The sequence below is a fragment of the Homo sapiens genome, chromosome 11, assembly GCF_000001405.40.
Source record: "Homo sapiens chromosome 11, GRCh38.p14 Primary Assembly".
NCBI lineage: Eukaryota > Metazoa > Chordata > Mammalia > Primates > Hominidae > Homo > Homo sapiens.
In genome coordinates, this window is record NC_000011.10 from 134,142,685 (window position 1) to 134,170,494 (window position 27,810).

The following is a 27,810-nucleotide window of genomic DNA, read 5'->3' on the forward strand; positions in this document are numbered from 1 at the left end:
TACTCACAGTTGTGCAACCATCACCACTATCAAATTCCAGAACATTTTCATCATCCCACAGAGAAAGCCCGTACCCAGCAGTAGTCAGTCCTCCTCCCGCATCCCTGGCAGCTCTGATTCCACTTTCTGTCTCTGTGGATTTGCCTGTTCTGGACACTGGATAGAAACTGTGGTCTTCCATGGCTGACGTCTTTCACTCAGCATCCTGTTTTCAAGGTTCATCTGTGTTGTAGCCTGTGTCCGTACTTCATTTCTTTTCACGGCTGAATAATGTTCCATTGTAGATATACCACATTATTTTACCCATTCTATTGATGGACATTTGGGTTGTTTCCACTTTTTGGCTATTATCAGTAATGCTGCTATCAGTATTTGTTTACAGGTTTTTGTGTGAACCTAAGTTTTCATTTCTCTGGGATAAATGACCAAGAGTACAACTGCTGAGTCTTACAGTAGTTGCATGTTTAGTTGTTTAAAAAACCGACAGAGTGTTTTTCAAAGCTGCTTTACGATTTTACACTCCTACCAGCAGTGTATTTTCCCACATCCTTACCAACACTTGTTATTGTCTGACTTGTTAAGTTCTAGCCATCTTAGTGGGTTGGAAGCGGCGTCTTGTGGATTTGATTTGCATTTCCTGGTGACTAATGATGTTGAGGGTCTTATTTGTGTATTTTCTTTGGAGAAATGTCTGTTCAAATTTTATGTCCATTTAAAAATATTTTTTTTTCTAGAAACAGGATCTCACTGTGTTGCACAGGCTGGACATGAATTCCCAGGCTCAAATAATCCTCCCACCTCAGCCTTCTGAGTAGCTGAGACTATATGTGTGCACCACTGCACCCACCCTTATGTCCAGTTTTTAAATTAGGTTGTCTATTTCTTACTGAAGTGTGAATTCTTTATTCTGGATGCTAGGTTGGATGTACGATTTGCAGGTATTTCTCCCATTGTGTGGATTGTTTTCACCTGCCTTTGTCCTTTGAATTTTGATGAAGTCCGGTGTAACTGTTTTTAGTGTGTGCTTGTGCTTTTGGTGTCATATCTAAGAAACCATTGCCCAATCCAAGGTCATGAGGGATTTATGCTTATGCATTTTTCTAAGAGTTTTATAGTTTTAACTCCTATGTTAGGTCTTTGTTGTATATGGAGTGAGAGAGAGGTTCAACTTCATGTGTTTGCAAGTGGATATCAAGTTATCTCAGCATCATTTATGAAACATTGGTTGTTTTTCTAGTGGTGTTTTTTTCTATTCATGGGCGGTCCTTCCTGGAAATGAGGAGGAGGAGGTGAAGTTCCTGGTTTTAATGACGGAGACACATGGTAATGAGTGTGTCTTGCACACCAGGAACTATTTTTGGTGTTTAGGTTACAGATAGGAATAGGTCATGGTTCCTGTCCTCAAGAGAGTTCACTTCTGTACTCGGGAATAGAAATAAATATTGATCTGCAGGCTTCCTTGCTGTGGCATCTAGTGCTAGCCCCAGAAACCACCCTCTTCAAGTGGCAAAGATTTCTTTAAAGAAGTTTTTTAGTGCCTCGTGTCTTTTCTGTAGGAGACTTGGCGGGTCGTGCAGAAATACTGGGGAAGACATCCCTGAAGATCTGGAATGTGACACGGAGAGACTCAGCCCTTTATCGCTGTGAGGTCGTTGCTCGAAATGACCGCAAGGAAATTGATGAGATTGTGATCGAGTTAACTGTGCAAGGTAGGAGCTCATGCGAAGGTGAGACATTGCCACCATAGGATGCAAGAGATCAGTTAGTGTCTTGGTTTCTTTCCTTCTAGAACTGTATCCCTGAGGGCTTCACATGGCTTAGGGAGGGGAGAACTGTTGAGAGCTGAGACTGCCTGAGTTGGGGTAGAAGGTGAGAAGGGAAGTGAAGTTCCTGTCACTTCCTTCCACCAGCTAGAGGAGGCGCTTTAACATATGGGAGGGCAGGATGCAGCGGTGGCTTGTCAGTCTGCAGTTGTGATCCTGGGAACAGCAGTGGCGTGGGAACCCCTCGACTGGCTGTCTTGTCTTTGGAGCTGATTTCTTCTGGGCTTTAATAAGAATAGAGCCCTGTCACTGAGATCTTAAACACCACCCCTTTTTCCCCACAGTGAAGCCAGTGACCCCTGTCTGTAGAGTGCCGAAGGCTGTACCAGTAGGCAAGATGGCAACACTGCACTGCCAGGAGAGTGAGGGCCACCCCCGGCCTCACTACAGCTGGTATCGCAATGATGTACCACTGCCCACGGATTCCAGAGCCAATCCCAGATTTCGCAATTCTTCTTTCCACTTAAACTCTGAAACAGGCACTTTGGTAAGATCTCTTCTAAGAGGTGAGGATGGAGATGTCTTTGTTGGGGCAAGAGATGCTTATTGTGAAAAGAAGATTAGGAGAGATACTGAAACTTCTTGATAAGACAGGAGTCAAAAATCTAGAATGTTAGGGATTCTACAGGAAAAATGACCCTTCTTCCTTTTATAAACAAGTACATTCTTAGGGGGTAAAATAAGGAAGAGAAAGAAACCATAGATTGAGACCGAAGAGGGATATTAAGCAAATGTTACTAGGGCCCTGATCGGATAATCAACTGTAAAAGTCATTAGACAATCGGGGAAATTGGATTACTAGGTGGTATTTGATGATCTATTAAGCAACTGTTCATTGCTTTAGGCATGATGAAGGTATTGTGGTTACGATTTTTTACAGTCTTGTAGAGATACTGAAGTATTTATGGATAAAAGGTGTTTGGAATTTGTTTCAAAATAACCCAGTGGTGGTGGTGGGAGGTGGGGGAGGAGAGGAAACAGATTGGTCATGCACTAGAGGACAAAGTGACCTGGCCAGCAAACCACACCAGGCTTTTACTGCATGTGGTTCTCTCCTGGGAGGTACCTTCTGATCTGTGGACCATCCAGTTCCACGTAGTCATCAGACAGATTTTAACAGGGTCCTCTGTGTTCATTTTGCCAAAATGTTGCCCCAGGAGCAGTCATCATTGAAGAGCCCTTTTACCAGAATAAAAGCAAGGTTCCACCTCCCATTTCGGATGTTGCCAGGCTTTGGTGTCTCCAGTCCCAAGGGGATTGGTTGTTGGGGAGCTGTCAGGCAGGTATCAGGGAGTGGGTCAGGGAGGAACATGCACAGTGCTGGGGAAGCTGAAAGCAAGCGAGCAGGTGTCGACCTAGTTCTGGACCCAGCTGGCTGTGCTCTCAGAAATCGGCCCCATGATGGGTCCGATTATTTACTTGTCATTCCCTGAAACAGGTGTTCACTGCTGTTCACAAGGACGACTCTGGGCAGTACTACTGCATTGCTTCCAATGACGCAGGCTCAGCCAGGTGTGAGGAGCAGGAGATGGAAGTCTGTGAGTTTCTTTTTTGAAGAGGTTTCATCGCAAGACTGGGAAGTGAATAGAACATTTTAATTTAATATTATACCATCAGCTTAGAGAACTCTTCCGCCATGGGTTAGCTTTCTTCTGGAGCTGCCTAGGTCCACCAGAACCCACTGCACAGTGAAGGGAAGGCTGAGAAAACCGAGTCCAGATAAGCAGGTCCTCAAAACAAAACCTTCTGGGATCTGCTGGTGTTGGGAACGTGGCCAGCCTTGCAACTTTCACTGCAAGTTTAGTAAACTCCATTCTTTGGTAATTGATAGAATTATCAAAATGTAAGGTGGTGTCAGGTCTCCAGAAATTTATCCAGTTATAACCCTCTTGTAGAAAACTGACAGTTTTAGCCCGAGTAATTTTACCTGCAGACAAAGCTTAGCCCCTAGAGTAATGTTATCTCAGGGCTCTGGTTCCCCTAATGGAGGGGCGTTGAGAGGAGGGTGGGGGCAGAGAGGATGTGTCCAAATCACTTGGGGAGCTTTTTTTTTTCTTAAAAAACAAAAAACAAAAAACACCACAGGGTCTTGCTTTGTTGCCCAGGCTGGAGTGCAGTGAGTGCAGTCACAGGTCACTGCATCCTCAAACCCAGCCTTCAAGCCATTCTCCCACCTCAGTCTCCTGAGTAGCTGGAACAACAGGCACACACCACCATGCTCAGCTAATTTTATTTTTTGTAGATACGGGGTCTCACTGTGTTGCCCAGGCTGGTCTCAAACTCCTGGCCTCAAGCAATCCTCCTGCCTCGGCCTCCCCCAGGTGCTGGGATTAACAGGCATGAGCCACTGTGCCCAGCCAGGAGCATTTTTTGAATCCTTCCCTCCTCCCTATTTGGAGCTCTCCTCAGAGCAGCATTTTCCAAAACTGCCTGGTGATACCCATTTGGGACCACTGTTTCACATACAGATTCGAGCCCACCTCAGACATATGCTAGAAATGTCTGTGTGTGAGACAAGCGTTCCGAAGGATTCTTCTCATGTGTCACGTTTGAGAAACTCTGCTCTAGGGTTGTTTTCTCCTGCAGTTTTGCCCCAGACCTACTTTAGCCTATTGACTTTTTAGTGATGAAACTTGGGAATTGACATTTTAACATCAAAATTGCATGCCAGGCGTGGTGGCTCACACTATAATCCTAGCACTCTGGGAGGCTGAGGCGGGTGGATCACCTGAGGTCAGGAGTTCAAGACCAGCCTGGCCAACATGCCAAAACTCTGTGTCTACTAAAAATACAAAAATTAGCCTGGTGTGGTGGCAGGCGCCTGTAGTCCCAGTAACTTGGGAGGCTGAGGCAGAAGGATCCCTTGAACCCGGGAGGCGGAGCTTGCAGTGAGCCGAGATTGCACCACAGAACTCCAGCCTGGGTGACGGTGACGGAGCAAGACTCTGTCTCAAAAAAAAAAAAAAAAAAACGATTGCAAGTTTACTTTTTGTTTTTGAGATGGAGTCTCGCTCTGTCACCCAGGCTGGAGTGCAGTGGCACAATCTCGGCTCACTGCAAGCTCCGCCTCCCGGGTTCACACCTTTCTCCTGCCTCAGCCTCCTGAGTAGCTGGGACTACAGGCACCTGCCAACACGCTCAGCCAATTTTTTGTGTTTCTAGTAGAGACGGGGTTTCACCACCTTAGCCAGGATGGTCTCGAATCTCTGACCTCGTGATCTGCCCACCTCGGCCTCCCAAAGTGCTGGGATTACAGGCGTGAGCCACCGCGCCCGGCCTGCAAGTTGATTTTTAAGTGTACATTCATCTTTGAGAACCAATACACTAGGATAAAGGAGATTTTTTTAAAACTTCCAAGTTACTTGGCTCTTGTTGATAAATTCCCTGCATAGTTTTCCATGTGTCGCTTGCTTGAAGGAACGGCTGCCAGAGCCCCATATGAAAGTGACCCAGTGCCTTTGCCCAGTGTATAGACATGAGAAAAGGGTTCCAGGGGGTTTCCTCTCAGAGGGCTTATAGATCGGAGGTCAGGCAGCCGGCAGAGACAAAGCTCTAGTTCTTACCTAGGATTCTTTACTTGTTTGTTTTTTGAGACAGATTCTTTAAGGCTTGAAGCTACCTTTCTTCCCCGCAGCAATCTGCAACAAAGGGAGGCCCTGGAAATTAGGGATTCTTTTCTTCTTGGGATCCTGGCTCCTAATCTTGTCCTCATAACCATTTCCTCCATAAGTAATCTCAGGCATTCAGCCAGAGGATTTTTAAGCCTACAGTGCCAAGCCCACTTTAATACACTTTTCAGTGCGACTGCATTTCAACTGTAGAAGTCTCAGTACTTTTCACGTGTGAAGTTAGGAGTTATGGTGTCCTATATGTTCTAGGCTAGAAGGATTGTAAGTGTTCTCTCTTCTAGCTGGGGTAGGCCTGAGGGGGCAGGGGGCAAGTGGGTTTGGGGTGAAGGAAGGAGGCACAGCAGGGCCAGGGCCTTTTTAAATAACAGATAGTGTGTATCATGGCTTCCACCAAACCTCCTTTTCTTCAGATGACCTGAACATTGGCGGAATTATTGGGGGGGTTCTGGTTGTCCTTGCTGTACTGGCCCTGATCACGTTGGGCATCTGCTGTGCATACAGACGTGGCTACTTCATCAACAATAAACAGGATGGAGAAAGGTGAGCCTGCCTTATGTGAAAAAAGGGAAGTTCAAGCTGGCAATAATATAACAACCCTGTTGCTAAACTGCTCTCTTCTCCTCATAGTTACAAGAACCCAGGGAAACCAGATGGAGTTAACTACATCCGCACTGACGAGGAGGTAATCATTTAGTAAACCTGGAAACCTAGGTGTACCCAGCAGGGAAAACAACATTCCCCCTTGGAAACCACACGGGTCTCCTGGGAAGATTTCTGAGTGATTGTGCAGCTCCTGAGCTCCTCAGCCCCTTCACAGTAACACACACACACACACACACACACACACACACACACACACTAATGGGATTTGTGCTTTGCAAGCGCTAGTGATGGTACTTTTTAAGAATGATTATTCCATCTGTATTTAGCCCATGTTAGACTTACTCCGTGTTTTTCCCTGCTTGCCACCAGGCCCCTTGATGGCTCTAACTGTGTGTTGGCTTTGCAGGGCGACTTCAGACACAAGTCATCGTTTGTGATCTGAGACCCGCGGTGTGGCTGAGAGCGCACAGAGCGCACGTGCACATACCTCTGCTAGAAACTCCTGTCAAGGCAGCGAGAGCTGATGCACTCGGACAGAGCTAGACACTCATTCAGAAGCTTTTCGTTTTGGCCAAAGTTGACCACTACTCTTCTTACTCTAACAAGCCACATGAATAGAAGAATTTTCCTCAAGATGGACCCGGTAAATATAACCACAAGGAAGCGAAACTGGGTGCGTTCACTGAGTTGGGTTCCTAATCTGTTTCTGGCCTGATTCCCGCATGAGTATTAGGGTGATCTTAAAGAGTTTGCTCACGTAAACGCCCGTGCTGGGCCCTGTGAAGCCAGCATGTTCACCACTGGTCGTTCAGCAGCCACGACAGCACCATGTGAGATGGCGAGGTGGCTGGACAGCACCAGCAGCGCATCCCGGCGGGAACCCAGAAAAGGCTTCTTACACAGCAGCCTTACTTCATCGGCCCACAGACACCACCGCAGTTTCTTCTTAAAGGCTCTGCTGATCGGTGTTGCAGTGTCCATTGTGGAGAAGCTTTTTGGATCAGCATTTTGTAAAAACAACCAAAATCAGGAAGGTAAATTGGTTGCTGGAAGAGGGATCTTGCCTGAGGAACCCTGCTTGTCCAACAGGGTGTCAGGATTTAAGGAAAACCTTCGTCTTAGGCTAAGTCTGAAATGGTACTGAAATATGCTTTTCTATGGGTCTTGTTTATTTTATAAAATTTTACATCTAAATTTTTGCTAAGGATGTATTTTGATTATTGAAAAGAAAATTTCTATTTAAACTGTAAATATATTGTCATACAATGTTAAATAACCTATTTTTTTAAAAAAGTTCAACTTAAGGTAGAAGTTCCAAGCTACTAGTGTTAAATTGGAAAATATCAATAATTAAGAGTATTTTACCCAAGGAATCCTCTCATGGAAGTTTACTGTGATGTTCCTTTTCTCACACAAGTTTTAGCCTTTTTCACAAGGGAACTCATACTGTCTACACATCAGACCATAGTTGCTTAGGAAACCTTTAAAAATTCCAGTTAAGCAATGTTGAAATCAGTTTGCATCTCTTCAAAAGAAACCTCTCAGGTTAGCTTTGAACTGCCTCTTCCTGAGATGACTAGGACAGTCTGTACCCAGAGGCCACCCAGAAGCCCTCAGATGTACATACACAGATGCCAGTCAGCTCCTGGGGTTGCGCCAGGCGCCCCCGCTCTAGCTCACTGTTGCCTCGCTGTCTGCCAGGAGGCCCTGCCATCCTTGGGCCCTGGCAGTGGCTGTGTCCCAGTGAGCTTTACTCACGTGGCCCTTGCTTCATCCAGCACAGCTCTCAGGTGGGCACTGCAGGGACACTGGTGTCTTCCATGTAGCGTCCCAGCTTTGGGCTCCTGTAACAGACCTCTTTTTGGTTATGGATGGCTCACAAAATAGGGCCCCCAATGCTATTTTTTTTTTTTAAGTTTGTTTAATTATTTGTTAAGATTGTCTAAGGCCAAAGGCAATTGCGAAATCAAGTCTGTCAAGTACAATAACATTTTTAAAAGAAAATGGATCCCACTGTTCCTCTTTGCCACAGAGAAAGCACCCAGACGCCACAGGCTCTGTCGCATTTCAAAACAAACCATGATGGAGTGGCGGCCAGTCCAGCCTTTTAAAGAACGTCAGGTGGAGCAGCCAGGTGAAAGGCCTGGCGGGGAGGAAAGTGAAACGCCTGAATCAAAAGCAGTTTTCTAATTTTGACTTTAAATTTTTCATCCGCCGGAGACACTGCTCCCATTTGTGGGGGGACATTAGCAACATCACTCAGAAGCCTGTGTTCTTCAAGAGCAGGTGTTCTCAGCCTCACATGCCCTGCCGTGCTGGACTCAGGACTGAAGTGCTGTAAAGCAAGGAGCTGCTGAGAAGGAGCACTCCACTGTGTGCCTGGAGAATGGCTCTCACTACTCACCTTGTCTTTCAGCTTCCAGTGTCTTGGGTTTTTTATACTTTGACAGCTTTTTTTTAATTGCATACATGAGACTGTGTTGACTTTTTTTAGTTATGTGAAACACTTTGCCGCAGGCCGCCTGGCAGAGGCAGGAAATGCTCCAGCAGTGGCTCAGTGCTCCCTGGTGTCTGCTGCATGGCATCCTGGATGCTTAGCATGCAAGTTCCCTCCATCATTGCCACCTTGGTAGAGAGGGATGGCTCCCCACCCTCAGCGTTGGGGATTCACGCTCCAGCCTCCTTCTTGGTTGTCATAGTGATAGGGTAGCCTTATTGCCCCCTCTTCTTATACCCTAAAACCTTCTACACTAGTGCCATGGGAACCAGGTCTGAAAAAGTAGAGAGAAGTGAAAGTAGAGTCTGGGAAGTAGCTGCCTATAACTGAGACTAGACGGAAAAGGAATACTCGTGTATTTTAAGATATGAATGTGACTCAAGACTCGAGGCCGATACGAGGCTGTGATTCTGCCTTTGGATGGATGTTGCTGTACACAGATGCTACAGACTTGTACTAACACACCGTAATTTGGCATTTGTTTAACCTCATTTATAAAAGCTTCAAAAAAACCCAAACATTGCTTCATTCTTTGTTATTTGCTCTTACGTTGGGTTTGTCTCTTCTTCCTAGCATTTCAGTGGTTAGGCATGCACACTAAAAATGCTATCAATCACCCATCCACCAGGGAAGTCAGTGCTGGGCAGGAGGTCAGCCTGTGTGCTCAAGAGCAGTGCTGCGCCTCTCCGCCACCGAGCCCACCTGTGTTGCGGTTCCCACTTGGGATGGCAGTGGGCAGATCTCAGTGGCATCCCATCCCCCAAACCAACCAACGCACATCATCACTTTGTACTTTTGCTTTTGTAATACTGGGATTAAAAAACAAACCAACTGCATTTCTTTCTGGATATTGTTGAACAAAAATAGCATTCAGTTTACCCACTAGTGCTAACAGAAGAGACTCAAGCTGTTCCCCCATCATGGGAGCAGCCCTTAACAGAGGGCTGCACAAATCGGCAGTGCTGCTCTGGGGAAGGCTGCAAAGCCATTTTTTCCCAAGAAGGGATGCTGTTCATGTCTGTTAGGGAAAGCACACCGCCTCTGCCTGGGCACAGATGAACTGCCCTTCAAGACAATCATCTTTTTTCTAATAGGGAAGATTTGGTTTCATTCCTCTAACAAACAAACATGCTTTATGTAAAATTAAAATGATTACCAATAAGAGCTCTGTTCTAAAAACAGAAAAATCCTATTGACTACTGGAAGGCTGTATTTATGCTAAACCTTTATTACTTTTAGAAAGCTGTACACTTTTTTAAAAAATTTGCACTTATAAATAATAGAAAAAATATTAGAATCAAAATTTCGTCATTACAGATGGGAAAATATGTACTATAAGGAATTCAAGTTAACAGAGGCTTGATTTATATAAAAGAAAGCTGCAGTTTTAAAGTTGTGTTCCTTAAAGACCAGATTATAGCTTATCTGAATGGGCTTGACACTTTCAAATGGAATAAAGTTACAATATTAAACAGATTAGGGTAAGAAAATCTAAATCTGGCACATCTCTATTATTTGACAGTGTTTAACCAAATACATCATACAGAATAGAAGGTGAGTGCCAGGCCCCTGAGGAGGAGCTCTCGTGTTCCACAGCAAAGCGCTGCCCAAGGACTGCGGGAAGTGATCCAGCTGCCTTCACACGGAGGACACGAGACTGCTTCCTCAAGGGCTCCTGCCTGCCTGGACACTGGTGGGAGGCGCTGTTTAGTTGGCTGTTTTCAGAGGGGTCTTTCGGAGGGACCTCCTGCTGCAGGCTGGAGTGTCTTTATTCCTGGCGGGAGACCGCACATTCCACTGCTGAGGCTGTGGGGGCCTAGGGAAAGGACATGTGCAGTCATTCTGGAACTCAGAAAAACCCTGACAGAAACATCCACCTCAAAAGGAACACTGCTAAACTTACGGTTTATCAGGCAGTGATAAACATAAGATGTCATTTCCTTGACTCCGGCCTTCAATTTTCTCTAAAAGGGAGTCAAACAAACACATTCAGCTTTCCCAGAACCTCAAAGGCAGTGCATCTATCAGCCCAGAAGGACACCAAGAACTTGCCTTTGGCTGACGACGGAGTCCGTGGTGTCCCGATGTAACTGACCCCTGCTCCAAACGTGACATCACTGATGCTCTCTGCATAAAGAGGAGACACCACTGAGTGAAAGCCGCGTGGTCTATCGGAGGTCTCTGTTCTAGTTGTCCGTGGGACGTAGGCAGGGTGTCCACATCAGTGTCCCAGCGGCGGCCCTCAGACCTCCACTGGACCCTGTCCCAGGGCCTGGCAGTGTTGAGGGCCCCTCCTGGGGATGCTCCTTTCCGTCTCTCTGACCCCCTTCTCTGACCCGCAGCCCTCAGGCACTCGGCTGGCCCCTGGGCCTCACTGTTCACGCCTCTGGCTTCCCTCCCGCCGTCTTCCATCATTGCCCCTGTCCCGGTGACCGCCCTGTCCCACTTACTACACCTCCTACTGTGGCTCACCCAGATTCCCTGAGGACACTTCAACTCCTTGCCTCTGCACCTCCACGCGTGCCTGCTGGTTTCCAGCCAGTGACTGGAGCATGCGCGCTGGAAATATGGCACCGTGAGCAGCTCCTCCACATGGAATCAGCAGCCAAGTCCTGTCCCTTCTACCTCCAGTCGCCGCCTCATCCTGTCCCGTCGTGCCACACTGGGAGCGGCTCAGTCCACCTCCCCCCTCGCCCTTGATTGTTCATGGCACCTACCCGCAATGAACCCCCTCCAGTTTGCCCTCAGGAACAGGAGAACACAGTTGAGCAGATTCCACCGCAGCTTGGGTGTGAATTCTGGCTCAGTGTCTCACCAGCTGTGTGAGCTGCTCTGAGACCCTCAGGTTTCTTCATCTCTTAAGTGGGTATAAAAACATAGCTACCTCATTGGGGGGCTGCCAGGACTACATGAGGTTATCCACGTTGAGTGCTTAGCATCGTGCTGGCTGCAAGGGCAGTGCTCAAGAGATGTTAGCAGCCACTGTCATTTATTAGCAGTATCATCCCTGCATCACTGGAGTTATGTTTCATCAAGAAGCTGGTAAATTTACTGCCCTGCTTCAAGACACCTCAATCGCTGTGTTCCTAGGAGAGCCTGAAGTCCACCCTCAGTCTCAGCTGGTCCCAAGCTGCCTTTACAGACTCACCTGTTAGGCTCAGGTGCACGCGTGCACAAACACGTCCACCCTCCTGCGTCCTCTTCCTCAGCAGGCCCTGTCTGCACATTATGCTTCTCTGCACCCCCCCCCCCACCGCCCCATCTGCCTACACATGCCACCCTGTCTTGGAGGCCCGGGTGGTGCAGCCTCACCCCTCCTGGGTGGTGCAGCCTCGCCCCTCCTGGGTGGTGCAGCCTCGCCCCTCCTGGGTGGTGCAGCCTCGCCCCTCCTGGGTGGTGCTGTACCCAGTGCATAAGCTGCCACCAGCACACTCCCGGGAACAGCACGGGCTGGGCAGCTGCTTGCTGGTACCACTGAACCTGCTGCCCTTCTGCAAGCACATGCGAGGAGGCAGCTTCAGAGCGCTCCCCGTTCTCCACTTGGTGTCTTGAGTATGGACTGTGTCTTCCCATTTACAGTTCAAAGCTCATCAGCGCACTGCAGCTGTGTACCCGATGGCTACTTGAGTGTCACTAATAGACGATGGTAGAGAATTCCTCATCACTGCTAGATCTGCTTATTCTGTTTCGGTGAAGTCTCTCCTTGTGCTGTCACATGAAATTCCCTTCCTGACACACACACTGCTCTTCCTGTTTGGAAGCCCATATGCACTCCAGGAAATTAGTCTCCCATCTTTACAGAAGCCCGGGTGCGGGGGCTCTGACGTCCCCCATGCACTGTGCGTAGAATCGAAGGCAGCAGCGTCTGTGCCACCCGAATGGTAACAGTAACAGGGACTTGCTAAAACCCCCACAGATTTTCAGTTAAAATCCTCGCTCTGAAAATTGACTAATTTTCATTTCCATTTAGCAAAGCCACTGTGAATTGGTGCTGAACTGGGTGGCATCTTTCCTGCCAGCTTTGAAGAGCTGAGACACTTCCTGACAGTCTCCCCCACCTAAACTAAAAGTTGCCAAAAAGAATCTGGACGTATAAACCACAGAGAAAACAGAACTGAGTGCTTTTAAACTATCTAACAGTTCTCCCAGGAAGGGGAGACCTCCAGGCATTTCTTCCTGGTTCAGTATAAAGAGAGACGGACAGAGACTGCATCAGCAGGAATATTATGTCCAAGAGCCTGGAGCAAGAACAAGTACTCTACCAACTCAATGACACCGGGCGCCTGATTTCCAGCACAAAGCGTGGCTCCACACAGGCAGATGAGGGCGGCATGAACCCTCCACGCCAGGCTGCCCTGTGGAGAAACACGAGCTGCTAGGAAACAACCCAACACTGACATCAGGGACTCAGGATGAGCACAACGAAAATGAGATGCGTTCTCCCCGTTTCTTCAGCATATGGCACCTCACTGCCAAAATAGAAGCTCTTGGCACTCCTGAGCCAGGAACATCGAACACACAGCAAGCTCTAACACACAGAACATCGCACCTGTCCACGACGCAGGATCCCAAATTACCCACTGCCTTTAATGACAAATGCCGTCATGATTCGGTTGTCGTCTGAGGGTGGGGGTGGGATAAACTCCCTTCAAAGGGGGACCTGGATGAAAATTACCTCTAACCTGTTAACTATTCTAAGAGATCACAGCATCAGTGTGACAGAACCAAACAAGCAAGTAGCTAGAATACAGCAGGTGCTCCACACACATGAGCTGACTGAAGCAGTGACTAAACGAACGGCAGGACACCTTGCTGCTCTGTTACCAGGAAGAGCACCTTAGCACGCTCTCATCTTCCCCTGCAGTCAGGACTAGGAGACAGGCTGGAGAAGGGGCACAAGAGTTGGGACCAGAAGGCCTGGGCTCAGCGCCCAGCTCTGCCCTCCCAGAAGTCTCCGGGAGGAGATCTCTGACACCTCCCAGGTTCCAGGCACTGTGGTCTGTGGAAACAGTGAGGAGTGGAATGGCCAGGGACGAGCGGGGCTGGATGCAGCTTGCTGAGGGCACTGTGCACAGCCGGGCGCAGAGCGAGGGGCACACAGGGACACGGCGGCAGGGCCTAGCCACTACTCCACAGATTTAGGACAGGAAGCATTTCTTCTTCCTGTAAGAGTTTTCTCAAAATAATGGTTTTTATGAGGTTTGACACAATATGAAGCTATCACACAAGATAATAGGAAAAGAATACTCAACTCTCCTAACTCACCTCTGTTTTGAAATCAAAGGAAAAGCACAAACAGTAGGAAAAAACATGGAGGGGAATGAGACACAGGCTCCGAGCAGGGGTCCCCGGGTCTCTGGTCTTGGCAGTTGCAGAGCGTGCATGGTACCTGCTGGTGCTGACGTCTGCCCGCCCTGGGAGCAGGCCCACCCAGCAGCGCCCAGTGCACCCGGACAGCCCAGAGACACGGAGGGCCGCCTCCAGAAGGCACCACTGGGTCAGTCACCCAACCTACCTGTGCCTCAACGGCATTGTCTGCTCCGCGGGCCACTGTGGTGTTTGACTGACTGAATGTAACGACACTGGAACAACATACTCGGTCAGTGCTCATGGATCAAGCGACCGTGGTCACTGTGAAATACTCCACCTCAGCAATGCACTCATGGTTCTGACCATCAGAACTATCCTGCACCGGAAGGAGTTTTACTGCGACTCTAGCAAACACATCACGAATGCAGGAGAGACTGAGGAGAAGCCCACGTGTTCCGATCAGTTACTCACTCTCGGGGGTGCTGATGGCCCGCTTGGTCACGTGCTCAATCTCGCCATTCGACTCTTGCTCCAAACTGTATGAAGACACTAGAACAGAAAAGGTGCTGCTATCCAGAAATACCCCCAAACAATAACGAAGAGCAAAACAACCACATGAGAAAACATATCTGCAAGACGTAAAGTCAAAATCACTAGTGTTTACAATTTTCTTATAAAGAGGCAATTCAGGAAGAAATACAAATAAATGATAAACATGAGAAAAAATGTCCATTCTCATTAGGATTCAAAAAAATAAAAGAGTCTAACTTGGCATAAGTGATAGAGGACAGTTTGACACTATCCAAAGTTTTTAAATATCCATGGCCTTTGACTGCTGGGAATTAATCCCAAGGATTACATACATACAAGGCTATATGTACAAGGATGTTTACTGTGATAGTATTTGTATGGAAAAATTGAAAATCAACATTTCAAAGAACAGGATAGTAATAAATCAGTTATTTCCACAGCCACAATGCTATAAAGCCACTGAAAGCAAAGGTTGGAAAGAAAAGTTCATGGAAGCTGTCTACTACATCTACTACATCTGACTTAAGAATGCAGGGAAACAGGTCATAAAACAATGCACGCACAGATCACAATTCCATAAACAAAACAAAACACGTGTGTGTAAGAGGAACAGAATAGCTGGAGGAAGGAATGCCTCACTGCTATGGGTGAGTTTCATATTTCACTCTATTTTCCAAATCTCCTAGAATAAATATGCATTGTTTTACTACCCATGATCCTAAAAGCCCAATTAACGTTATTTGTTTTAAAGATAAGAAAACACACCGCTTTGAAAGGAATAAGAAGTAGCTTGTTCTGTGTTTTCATCTGTAAATGCTCTACTGTGTCTGGCACCAAACATAAGGCTTACCCTGACTGCACGTTTTTTCTGGGCTTCCAGAATTTAAAGTGAAAGGCAGCACTCCTAAGCTCCGACTCCGATGCCTGCTCTTTGACTCCACGGCTTTCTTGACAGAATTCAGGATTGCAATGGTGCTCAGGGACATGGGCCTGTGGAGAACAGCCACAGCCGCTGACTTTCTCACTGCAGACCACTGCAGAGGTGACAGTGCTGCACTGTGTCCCCGCGTGCCTCCTCACCGGCGCATCCCTCACCACCCTCATTCAAACCTCCCAGGGCACAGTGTGGAGCGGGGTGGCAGGCCAGACAATGACAATGACTTTCCTGCCCACGCTTGGGAATGGCAGGGACGCCTCTGAGAACATCGCCACAGAGAACCAGCCCTGATGTGGCCTCCAGGGGCTCTTTACCTGGCTTTGGGCAGCAACCTCTGCAATGGCCCTGTTTCAGGTGTAGGAGATGATACTGCTACATGGCCAGCACTTGCCCTGGGTGTGCAGGGCTGGCTCACGGCAGGTGACATGGCAGGGTTTTCTTGGCCAGCAGGAACTGGCACTGTTTCTAAACACAGGGCAACCTGGTAGAGAAGATAAAGAGTATGTACATTCTAATACTTTTTAAGTTTTCAAAAACGGATATATGATAGTTGTACATGGTTGGGGGTCCATATGAGATTTTGATACATGTGGACAACGTAATGATCAAATCAGGGTAATTGGCATCTCCATCACCTCAAACGTGAGTATCTTTTCTTTGTGTTGGGAACATTCCAATTCTTCTATGTACTTTGAAATATACAGTAAATTGTTAAACTGTAATATCTCCACTGTACTGAATACTAGAACTTATTTCTTCTATCTAACTGTATTTTGGTACCCATTAACCAACTTCTCTTCATCCCCCTTCTCCCACCCCTTCCCAGCCTCTGGTAATCACCAAAAATCCACTCTCTAACTCCGTGAGATCAACCTTTTTGGCTCACATATATGAATGAGAACATACAATCTTTGTCTTTCTGTGTTTGGCTTATTTCACTTAATATAATGTCTTCCAAGTTCATCCATGTTGCAACAGATGACAAGATTTCACTTTTTATAGATGAAAAGTACTCCACTGTATATGCACCCCATTTTCTTTACCATTCATCCACTGATGGACATTTGTTTCCAAATTTTGCTATTGTGAACAGTGCTGCAATAAACATGGGAGTGCAGGTATGTCTTCGACATCCTGATTTCCTTTCTTTTGACTATACAGTCAGCAGCGAGGCTGCTGCCTCATATGGTACCTCTACTTTTAGTTTTTTGGAACCTCTATACTGTTCTCCATAGTGGCTGTTCTACTTTCCATCCCTACCAACAGTGTACAAGCCATTCCCTTTCTCCATTTTAACACTTTATTGGAATAGAATCTTCACGTACTATGAGCAAGTCCATAAGTAATGTACTTTGAAGCCATATCAACCCTGGGTAAGTTGAATTTCCTTTTCAGAAACAGAATACTATGAGAAAGCTGCCACTTGTAGATGCTGTGGCATGACAGAAGAGAAAAAGGAGTATGCTACTTTGTGCTCATTGGTCTTTCCTACAAGAGATCTGCCTGCATTCCTCAGGACGGTGAGCAACAGCTACTCCTAGAAATGGCCGTGTGCCGGTCTGCTCTAAAGAGGGAGTGCTGGGGGAAGATGCGGACACACTGACACACCCTGGCAGACCTAGGATCTATAGTCACCAGCTACTGCTGCTGCCAGCTCGCTTCCTGCACCACGTCCTCATGGAAGGGAGGTCTGGAGCACAGTAAATCCATCACAGACAGAAAGGCACGAGGGAGTGGCCAACAAGCAGCACTCTCGAGGCCTTCGGGCTGACTAACCTCTGATGACGGAGATCTTGAGAGGTGCCAGACAAACGACAGACTGGTAGCAGACAGCAGACTGGACTGTCTGGTCACAGTGCAGTGGGCCCCACACCTACCTGTGCCACAGGTGCCACCTCAGCACCTCCAGCCGTCCCGGCCACATCTGCATGTTTTGCTAGCTCCTGCTCCTGGACCAGCTGTTCCTGGTACTTCTTCATGTCATACTCAAGCTCTGATGCCAGCTGTTTGTCAACTGCAAAGAAGTCCTTGAGCTCATCTCGGTAATCCTGCATCACCTCCTGAAACAGAGCCAGGAGCATCCTTTCATGTTTTCTTGAATAAAAACGTAAAGCCCTAAACCCCCACGACACACCTTCGCCTGTGTAACAAACCTGCACATCCTGCACGTGTACCCCTGAACGCAAAATAAAAGTTAAGAAAGAAAAAAGCCCCCCAAGTCATGTTGCTTGATAAATCATAGGAACAATAGGACTGACATTACTGAAAGCAGATGATTTCCATTCCAGTAACTAACAGGTACAATGGTATATTTGGAGCAAACACCACTGGCCACACAAGCAGAAAAATATGTGAGTAACTAACAGTTCTCTCTCTTAGGAAGCATCCTGGCTATGTGGCAGTTAATGGGCAATCTCTCCCAGGTTCCCAATGGGAGAAAGACATGCTCAGACACAGCCTCTGGAGCAAGTCCCAGGATGCATGGATCTAAAAGCTGCTCATCTGTCTACATTAGCCTCCCCATTGGCTCTCAGGGGATTCCAACTAAGGCTCAAATCCCATCTTTGTGTCTTCTTCTGAAGATTTTACAGAAAACCTTTTCTCATACCTAGGGAAAAACATTCTTAGGTCTTAAAGAGGGGTGCCAGGGGCAAGACCACTTTGCTAAGAGAAAGAATCATTCCACCTAACAGTAATAGGGAGAAAAAGACACTGCAGTTCCAACTGGGAGGGAAGTCTCAACAAAGAGAAGGAATCCATGCACTTTTCCAGCTGCCACTAGGAGTGGGTTCCACAGGCCAATGAAGAGACTCCCTCAAGCTACTGACAACAAGCAACGTGTGGCCATCCTGTGTGTGTGCTCACAAGCAGGAGGAAGGCTTATTTTTCTTAAGTGTTTAAGTAGTCTATGTAGGATCAAAGCTCTGTTTTTGTTTTTTTTTTTCCTTTCTAGGGTCTAAAGTCAGGCAATAAATACAAGAATATTTGGAAGTTTTTATTTTTATCATACAATGAGACTATCTTTCCTACCTTGGCTTCCTAGTATAAAAAGCTATTTGAAAATTTATATTCAATGTAATTTTTGTTGAGGCCTTTATTGGAAAAAAAATTGTAGCATTTTTTTGAGGAAGAAAAACACATAATGTGAACAGAGCTATAACTGCTGAATTAAAGAAAAACTATGTTGCATTTATTTCTTAGTAAAAGATTTTGCAAGAAAGGTCTGAGGCCCCACTTAGGTCCGCCCTGCAAGTCAACACATCCTGGGTTTGCTCCGACTGAGCTCCTCATGGTCCCCTTGCTTGACAAAGAATTCAGCCTGGTGATGGCAGCTCCGAAGGCAGCTCCTGCAGGGCAGTTATTTCCTGACCTTGTGAATCTGAGTCAGTGCAAAAGGTAAGCACCCTGAAATCAAACCCGAAGACTCACTTTCACCTTACCCCCAAGCAGCATGAACGAAGATGACTGTGTTCTTGACCCCAGCTGGGAAAGTTTTCCAGATGGACTTGAACTCCATTAAGGGAAGACGTGCTTGGCACAGTGGGCCGGCTCTTCACGGCCCTGGCTGCACATCCAAGGGAAAGAGCGGCTTTGGTGGAACCCACAGCCAACCCCTAGCTCCACAGCAGTTACCAAGGTAATGTTGGGTTTGCAGAATTTGGGGTTCTAATCATTCACGGATTGCCTGCACTGTCATAACTGGCAGAAGATCCTAAGTAATGAACTGGTAGGACAACAACCACAAAAGCACAGGCTCCACCCTTACCCTGAGATAGTGCATGAGTTCCCGCAAAGCTGGGATCTTATTTTTCTCCAGCACAGTCTTCAGGGAGATGATAATTGGAATAATATTTTCTATGAAATTCCTCTTCTGAACCTGGTAACACAAACAAAGACATGTTTTAGATGTATGAACTTCTGAAAGACAGGCCTCTCCTTGATCTAGTTCTTTGAGTAGAGCCACCCTACCACACTATGTAAGTTTATTTTTGCTTTTCATTATGATACTGGATGTAGAGGACCTCTGCTTTTCTCTGGGAGACTTTGTAAGCATTACCTCAAAACACTCTGAAGGCTTTGTAAGATAGGGTGGGGACAAATACTACTCATATATTCTAAATGGGGAAAAAGAATTAGAAACATGTTGAGTAGCTTTTGACAAAAGCCCCAAATCTCCACAGAAGACCCTGAGGGACCTTGGCTCTTGCTCCACCTTCAGTCCTCAATTCAACACCCTCCCCTTGGAACAGAAGTCAGCTCGTTCTGGCTACCCAGAGGGACACTTCGTATTCCTGCTGGTGAAGGGACAATGGTCTAAAAATGGCTAAGCATGAAGACAGCCAGCTCTGTCTCTCTCTCTGTGTACACATCTACAAAATACTATGAATTTATATATATAGTACCTGATTTGACCAAGTCTTCACACTTTACCTTGAATGATCACTAACCACAAATATTCTCCAGTGAATCTCTTTAAATTAAAAAAAAAGCACTATAGTAGCCCACATATGCAAGATTTATCCTCCTGAAGCTGAAACTACTCTTTTCCTTCTCATTTAAAGTCACTAGTGTATGTTTCTTCCTTGTAAACTACTCATTTCTAAAAAGTCTTATCAGAGTTCCTGAAACAGAAGGACAACAAGTAGAGAAATAAGCAATTTAATAAACCCAGATGTGAGCAGATGTTATGTTCAGGAATAGTCTTAAGAAGTGGCTTCCATGCATTCACTTGACAAGTATTATCAAGCACCTTCTCTGTCCAGGCAAAGAGCTAACCCTCTGAGGATGCAAAATGAAGCTAAGCATCCCTGCCCTCCAGCCACTTCTAGAAAGTGTGTGTCTCAAGGGAAGAGGTGTTAAGTGGCAGGGTGTTAGGGAATTTAGGTATGGAGATGGGATGCCTAAGGAGTGCATGGCCATCTGATGGATGATCCTGAGGATGTGTGGAGAAGGGAGGATGGGTGGGTGAGGGCGCTGCAGACTTTAGACCCAGAGGCAAGAGCACACGAGTAGGGGGCAGCTCGCAACTGAGGTGCAGATGGCAATTTGAAGTGGAGAGGTTAGAGGTGAGGATGGAGGGAGGTATGGGAAAGGTGGAAGGCACACCAGAAGTTCTTGTTTACCTTGAAAAAGAAGAATCAGGGTTTATTCAGAAGATGACAGGAAGCCACCAGCATAGTTTTTAAAGATTTCACTAGTGAAGTATAACATATGTAATAAATTTACCCATTTTAAACAAACACTTCCATGAGCTTTGACAAAAGTCTATATGGAATAACCAGCACTACAGACCACTCACCATCTATCACCCAAAAGCTTCCTGCCACCCCTCACAGTCAACCTGCCTTTAGTCTGTTTCAGATATAATAAAATGATCAAATTTGTACTTAAGAAAGACTGCTGGGCTGGGTGTGGTGGCTCATGCCTGTAATCCCAGCACTTTGGAAGGCCGAGGCGGGCAGATCACGAGATCAGGAGATTGAGACCATCCTGGCAAACACTGTGAAACCCCATCTCTACTAAAAATACAAAAAAACTAGCCGGCCGTGGTGGCTGGTGCCTGTAGTCCCAGCTACTAGGGAGGCTGAGGCAGGAGAATGGCATGAACCCAGGGGGGCAGAGCTTGCACTGAGCAGAGATCGTACCACTGCACTCCAGCCTGGGCAACAGTGTGATACTGTGTCTCAAAAAAAAAAAAAAAAAAAAAGTTAGCCAGGCACAGTGGCAGGGGCCTGTAGTCCCAGCTACTCGGGAGGCTGAGGCAGGAGAATGGCGTGAACCTGGGAGGCGGAGCTTGCAGTGAGCTGAGATCGCGCCACTGCACTCCAGCCTGGGCGACGCAGTGAGATTCTGTCTCAAAAAAAAAAAAAAAAAAAAAGAAAAAGAAAGAAAGACTGCTCTGGCAGCAAGGTGGTACATGGCCTGTGACAGAAAGAAACCAGAAACAGAAAGGGTGGTAAGGAAACCATGGAAATGGGATAAGCTTAAATAAGGTCAGAACTAGAGAGATAGATTGGTAAGAGAAAACAGGCAGGATCTTGTGGCAAGATATGATCAGAGTCTATATCCTTGGAGTCAAAAGCCTCCAGAGGCCAGGTGGGAAATACACATTGGCAATCCAGGCTAGGAGGAAAACACAGGCCTGCAGAGGCCTGTGGCAGCCAAGCTCTGCCCCAGTCATTCAGATCCAAATTCTACACTTCCTGCCAACAAAAGCCTCAGCCTGACACACCAGACTCCAGTCTGCAAGAGCACCATAAACTGTGGGAGAAAGAGGAGATGAAGAGCAGAAAGAAGAGATGACTGAGGGAGTTTTGACAGAGTAAGTCAGAGACACCCGGAGCACGTCCTGGCAGCAGGGGGACCTGAGCTCAGGCTCATGAGAAATGCTGGAGTGGGAAACAGGTTTGAGAATTGTCACCATCTGGCAAGAGTTAAAGCCATCAGTAAGAAAGAAGTCAGCACCAGAGCATGGCACCAGGATTCCAGGGAGAACACGGAAGCCAGTAGATGGTGAGAAGAGTGGGACACTCACTTGTGAAATGAGCTTAGGGGAGCTGCACACTCACTTGTGACATGAGCTTAGGGGAGCTGCACACTCACTTGTGACATGAGCTTGAGGGAGCCGCATAATCACTTGTGACATGAGCTTGGGGGAGCTGCACACTCACTTGTAAAATAAGCTTAGGGGAGCTGTACACTCACTTGCGACATGAGTTTAGGGAGCTTCACACTCACTTGTGACATGAGCTTGGGGGAGCTGCACACTCGTGAAATGAACTTAGGGGAACTTCACACTCATGAAATGACCTTAGGGGAGCTGAACACTCACGTGTGACATGAGCTTGAGGGAGCTACATACTCACTTGTGACATGAGCTTAGGGGGAGCTGCACACTCACTTGTGAGATGAGCTTAGGGGGAGGGGCACACTCACTTGTGACATAAGCTTAGGGGAGTGGCATGCTCACTTGTGACACAAACTTAGGGAAGCTGCACACCCACTTGTGAGATGAGCTTAGAGGAGCTGCACACACTTAGATTAGCTGAGGGGGAGCGGCACACTCACTTGTGAAATGAGCTTGCGGGAGCTGCACACTCACTTGTGAGATGAGCTTAGGGGAGCAGCACACTCACTTGTGAGATGAGCTGAGGAGGAGCTGCACACTTGTGAGATGAGCTTGGGGGAGCGGCACACTTGTGAGATGAGCTTAGGGGAGCAGCACGCTCACTTGTGAGATAAGCTGAGGGGGAGCTGCACACTCGCTTGTGAGATGAACTTAGGGAAGCTGCACACTCACTTGTGACATGAGCTTAAGTGGAGGGGCACACTCATGAGCTTGGGAAGGGCGCACTCGTGAGATAAGCTTCGGGGAAGGGGCACACTTCTGAGATGAGCTTAGGGGAAGAAGCACACTCGTGAGATGAGCTTAGGGGAGTGGCACACTCATGAGATGAGCTTGGGGGAGTGGCACACTTGTGAGATGAGCTTACGGGAGCAGCACACTCACTTGTGAGATGAGCTTAGGGGAGCAGCACACTCACTTGTGAGATGAGCTTGGGGGAGGGGCACACTAGTGAGATGAGCTTGGGGGAGGCGCACACTCGTGAGATGAGCTTAGGGGAGGCCCACACTCGTGAGATGAGCTCAGGGGAGCAGCATACTCATTTGTGAGATGAGCTTGGGGGAGGCGCACACTCGTGAGATGAGCTTAGGGGAGCTGCACACTCACTTGTGAGATGAGCTTGGGGGAGGTACACACTCGTGAGAGGAGCTTAGGGGAGATGCACACTCACTTGTGAGATGAGCTTGGGGGAGGCGCACACTCGTGAGATGAGCTTAGGGGAGCTGCACACTCACTAGTGAGATGAGCTTGGGGGAGGGGCACACTCACTAGTGAGATGAGCTTGGGGGAGCAGCACACTCACTTGTGAGATGAGCTTGGGGGAGGGGCACACTCAGTGAGATGAGCTTAGGGAGAGCAGCACACTCACTTGTGAGATGAGCTTGGGGGAGGCGCACACTCACTAGTGAGATGAGCTTGGGGGAGCAGCACACTCACTTGTGAGATGAGCTTGGGGGAGGGGCACACTCACTAGTGAGATGAGCTTGGGGGAGGGGCACACTCACTAGTGAGATGAGCTTGGGGGAGCAGCACACTCACTTGTGAGATGAGCTTGGGGGAGGGGCACAGTGAGATGAGCTTAGGGAGAGCAGCACACTCACTTGTGAGATGAGCTTGGGGGAGGCGCACACTCGTGAGATGAGCTTAGGGGAGCTGCACACTCACTAGTGAGATGAGCTTGGAGAGGCACACTCACTAGTGAGATGAGCTTGGGGGAGCAGCACACTCACTTGTGAGATGAGCTTGGGGGAGGGGCACACTCACTAGTGAGATGAGCTTGGGGGAGGGGCACACTCACTAGTGAGATGAGCTTGGGGGAGCAGCACACTCACTTGTGAGATGAGCTTGGGGGAGGGGCACAGTGAGATGAGCTTAGGGAGAGCAGCACACTCACTTGTGAGATGAGCTTGGGGGAGGCGCACACTCGTGAGATGAGCTTAGGGGAGCTGCACACTCACTAGTGAGATGAGCTTGGAGAGGCACACTCACTAGTGAGATGAGCTTGGGGGAGCAGCACACTCACTTGTGAGATGAGCTTGGGGGAGGGGCACACTGAGTGAGATGAGCTTAGGGAGAGCAGCACACTCACTTGTGAGATGAGCTTGGGGGAGGCGCACACTCGTGAGATGAGCTTGGGGGAGGCGCACACTCGTGAGAGGAGCTTAGGGGAGCTGCACACTCACTTGTGAGATGAGCTTGGGGGAGGCGCACACTCATGAGAGGAGCTTAGGGGAGGCGCACACTCACTTGTGAGATGAGCTTGGGGGAGGCGCACACTCGTGAGATGAGCTTAGGGGAGCTGCACACTCACTAGTGAGATGAGCTTAGGGGAGCTGCACACTCACTAGTGAGATGAGCTTAGGGGAGCTGCACACTCACTAGTGAGATGAGCTTGGGGGAGCTGCACACTCACTAGTGAGATGAGCTTGGGGGAGCTGCACACTCACTAGTGAGATGAGCTTGGGGGAGCTGCACACTCACTTGTGAGATGAGCTTGGGGGAGGGGCACACTCACTAGTGAGGTGAGCTTGGGGGAGGCGCACACTCGTGAGATGAGCTTAGGGAGAGCAGCACACTCGTGAGATGAGCTTGGGGGAGGCGCACACTCGTGAGATGAGCTTAGGGGAGCAGCACACTCACTTGTGAGATGAGCTTGGGGGAGCAGCACACTCACTTGTGAAATGAGCCTGGGGGAGGCGCACACTCGTGAGATGAGCTTGGGGGAGGCGCACACTCGTGAGAGGAGCTTAGGGGAGCTGCACACTCACTTGTGAGATGAGCTTGGGGGAGGCGCACACTCGTGAGAGGAGCTTAGGGGAGGCGCACACTCACTTGTGAGATGAGCTTGGGGGAGGCGCACACTCGTGAGATGAGCTCAGGGGAGCTGCACACTCACTAGTGAGATGAGCTCGGGGGAGCTGCACACTCACTAGTGAGATGAGCTTGGGGGAGGGGCACACTCACTAGTGAGATGAGCTTGGGGGAGGGGCACACTAGTGAGATGAGCTTGGGGGAGCAGCACACTCACTTGTGAGATGAGCTTGGGGGAGGGGCACACTCACTAGTGAGGTGAGCTTGGGGGAGGCGCACACTCGTGAGATGAGCTTAGGGAGAGCAGCACACTCACTTGTGAGATGAGCTTGGGGGAGGTGCACACTCGTGAGATGAGCTTAGGGGAGCAGCACACTCACTTGTGAGATGAGCTTGGGGGAGCAGCACACTCGTGAGATGAGCTTGGGGGAGGTGCACACTCACTTGTGAGATGAGCTTGGGGGAGGTGCACACTCGTGAGATGAGCTTAGGGGAGCAGCACACTCACTTGTGAGAAGATGATCTTAGGGGAGCAACACACTCACTTGTGAGATGAGCTTCTTCTGAGCTTCCTGCATGACTACATTTGCCAAGGCCATGTCATCTTCTTCCATAAGGAGGTCTTTGTCTGGTTTAGATCTCATTGCCAAAAGCTTGATCTCCTTTGAGCTGAGGACCTCAAACGTGTCTGAGAGTAACTCACTGGCGTCCAGGTCCAGGGGTAGGATGCCATCAGCAAAGCACGCTGAGAGACAGAGAGAGAGAAAAACGTGAGCTTCTGAGAAATGCTCTGGCCCAGAGAGGAGGTGTAATTCCCACAACTGGGGGGCCATCTGAGGCTGTCAGGGGGTCTGCAAGGGTGTTTTGTCTGGGGCACAGCTGATGCCAGAGAAGGACAAGATGACAGGGGTCTTCCTGCAGTGCCAGGGTCTCCCTTACTAGAGGCCTGCTGGGCCATTATCAACACAGCATTTCATTTGCAAACACACACATTTTCTCCCACACACACTGGGCTTACCCAAAATACTAAGGCAGATTTTGGAAGTGATGTTGAATCGCTGTTCATCTGTGAAGTGCTCTAGAAGAAATTTGTAGATTTTCATTCGTCTCTCTTTGTTTGACTTTCCCTTCAATGAAAACAGCCGCTTCTCTCTGTGGCAGAACGGGACAAGTTCACTGCATCACATGGGCACGGGTGTAAGGGATTTAACACTGCACTTTAACTGCATCCTAAAAGCTGCATGCCAAAGACTCCAGTGCACTACAGAGATCCCAGTGCTCATCACAGGCGCTGCCCTTAGGAAGCGATTCTCACGACTGTATTTTCTTACGCCATCCTGCCAAGCCACAGTAAAGACCTGGGGCAGGGTCTGCGTCCAATCACTACATGCAAAGAGCCTAACCTCCCCTGATTCCCCCAGCTCTTACCCAGATACAAGGAGACCAGACTTAGCTGCTTCACTGACCTCTCTGACTGGGGGAACTTGTTGTACTTCTCATGCTTCTCATAGTTATTAAAGTGAAAAATACATTCAATGAAGTGTTGGAAGAACATGACAGGGTTCCTCTTCAGTAACAGGTGAGCCAGGCAAAACTCCCCGAAGCTGCAAAGGTGAGAGAAACAAAGAGGGAGACCCATTTGCTATGTACCAACAGTCTCTGAATACACCAAGAACTCTGCTGAGCAGAGGAGAGCTGTACATAAGCGTAGGGATTCAAAATCTATCCCAATAAACAGTTCCCTCGGATCCAAAGAAGACAGAAATTCAGCTATTTGGTCTGTCCTTGCTCCACAGCTTCCTTTCTAATCCAAGGTAAGTATATTTTTTCCACCAGGTTTCCTTTCAAAATTGACACAAGGTGTTGTCATCCAGCTGCAGTTCAAGTGGGGAAAGTAATCGACCAACTGAACCCCAAAGCTGCTTCTGCAATCAGAGGCCAGTGGTCTTATAAGACTGATGCAATGACAACAGTCACCAGAAAAGGGATATCTGGCCTTCACCTCCCAACTTCAAGTTTGTTGCCCACAATTATGAACAAAAACCAATTTTAGTAACTGGAACTTTTTTCAAGAATAAGGATTAATGACAAGAGCTTCACAGTTTGGATCAGGAGGACAAGTTCCCTCTGCAAAGCAACTGACTCAATGCGCTTTGGAATCACCAGCAAGCCCTGGGCACTCTCCTTCCACCCATGCCCTCAACATATCTGTGCAATGCTGCACATGGGACACAGATGCCACCAGGACCCTACCAAAATGAAGATTTTCAATGCCAGATGTAAACAGGCAAACTGTTTGACTACAGGCCACCACAGAGTTTCTGTTCATCACGATAGTAGGTGACAGAGTGCCAAAGCACTGATTTTTGCTCAGGGGTCAAACTAACATGGTGCAGGACTCACTGTGATACATTCACACTGTCAAGACCAGTGTTTTAATTTAATATCAGAGCTCAAATGCAATTTCCACCCACACAGGAGCACCAGTCAGCTCTCCTTGGGAGAGGAGCAGTGTCAAAGACTGTCCAAACAGCAGACACTGGCTCTGGAGGGCATTGGGACTGTGTAGGAGACTGACTTCTCCTTTCCCCAGTGGTGCTCCTTATGCCAAAATTCAAATCAGTTTGTGTTCACAGCACACATATCAATTAAAAATCAGAGAAGGTAGATGAGAAATCATGATGGAAGTAAGCCCAGATAAAAATTCCACTGTAGATAATTACACCTTGACTATTCACCTAGGAAATACGGGAGCAGCTTGACCTAGAAATATGAAAACAAAATAAATAAAACTCTATTCAATAACGAGAATTCCTTGAGACAAAATTCACTTAAGGACAACCAGAAGCACCTGTCTGATCTAAGAGTAGTCAGTTACTTTGTACAAATTATGTTGTTTAATGACCCATGTTTGAAAGGCAAAGGTCACAGCATCAGATGAAGTTATTTCTAAACAAGGGTTACTTTGGTAAACCATCTGTGACAAGAATGAAAAAAACCACTAAACAAACAAGGATTTATCTTCTGTGGTATTTTATTATAGT

General features: G+C 47.8%; 2 protein-coding genes and 1 non-coding gene across 8 annotated transcripts in view, besides 1 other annotated feature; 1 reads left to right on the plus strand and 2 right to left on the minus strand.

The window, feature by feature from the left end:
- Nucleotides 1-9,317, plus strand: part of JAM3 (junctional adhesion molecule 3) — an 82,930-nt gene extending 73,613 nt beyond the window's left edge. The window contains exons 4-9 of one of the 2 annotated variants that reach the window (NM_032801.5): nt 1,557-1,709; nt 2,108-2,310; nt 3,262-3,361; nt 5,863-5,992; nt 6,080-6,134; nt 6,462-9,317. In NM_032801.5, the coding sequence (NP_116190.3) occupies nt 1,557-1,709; nt 2,108-2,310; nt 3,262-3,361; nt 5,863-5,992; nt 6,080-6,134; nt 6,462-6,497 (677 nt within the window). In that variant the 3' untranslated portion in view covers nt 6,498-9,317. The remainder of the gene's footprint in view (nt 1-1,556; nt 1,710-2,107; nt 2,311-3,261; nt 3,362-5,862; nt 5,993-6,079; nt 6,135-6,461) is intronic. The other variant, NM_001205329.2, reaches the window with a different exon arrangement.
- The window catches only part of NCAPD3 (non-SMC condensin II complex subunit D3), a 75,349-nt gene continuing 54,967 nt past the window's right edge, over nt 7,429-27,810 (minus strand). For 3 of the 5 annotated variants that reach the window (NM_001372070.1, NM_001372069.1, NM_015261.3), the window contains 11 exons: nt 26,233-26,370; nt 25,785-25,918; nt 25,312-25,511; nt 19,097-19,207; nt 17,208-17,390; nt 15,645-15,811; nt 15,244-15,383; nt 14,334-14,411; nt 10,605-10,679; nt 10,456-10,516; nt 7,429-10,368 (listed from right to left, as the gene is read on the minus strand). In NM_001372070.1, the coding sequence (NP_001358999.1) occupies nt 10,260-10,368; nt 10,456-10,516; nt 10,605-10,679; nt 14,334-14,411; nt 15,244-15,383; nt 15,645-15,811; nt 17,208-17,390; nt 19,097-19,207; nt 25,312-25,511; nt 25,785-25,918; nt 26,233-26,370 (1,396 nt within the window). In that variant the 3' untranslated portion in view covers nt 7,429-10,259. The remainder of the gene's footprint in view (nt 10,369-10,455; nt 10,517-10,604; nt 10,680-14,333; nt 14,412-15,243; nt 15,384-15,644; nt 15,812-17,207; nt 17,391-19,096; nt 19,208-25,311; nt 25,512-25,784; nt 25,919-26,232; nt 26,371-27,810) is intronic. The other 2 variants (NM_001372068.1, NM_001372065.1) reach the window with 2 other exon arrangements.
- SNORD153 (small nucleolar RNA, C/D box 153) lies at nt 8,604-8,679 on the minus strand. Its single transcript, NR_145790.1, has one exon. It is a non-coding gene; the product is annotated as a small nucleolar RNA, C/D box 153 (small nucleolar RNA).
- Nucleotides 15,066-15,567: an enhancer, noted in NCBI's record as "H3K4me1 hESC enhancer chr11:134027645-134028146 (GRCh37/hg19 assembly coordinates)". NCBI's record gives its function as "activates a minimal SCP1, AML or CMV promoter by ChIP-STARR-seq in primed H9 embryonic stem cells {active_cell/tissue: H9 hESC(primed)}" and the evidence as "EXISTENCE:reporter gene assay evidence [ECO:0000049][PMID:30033119]".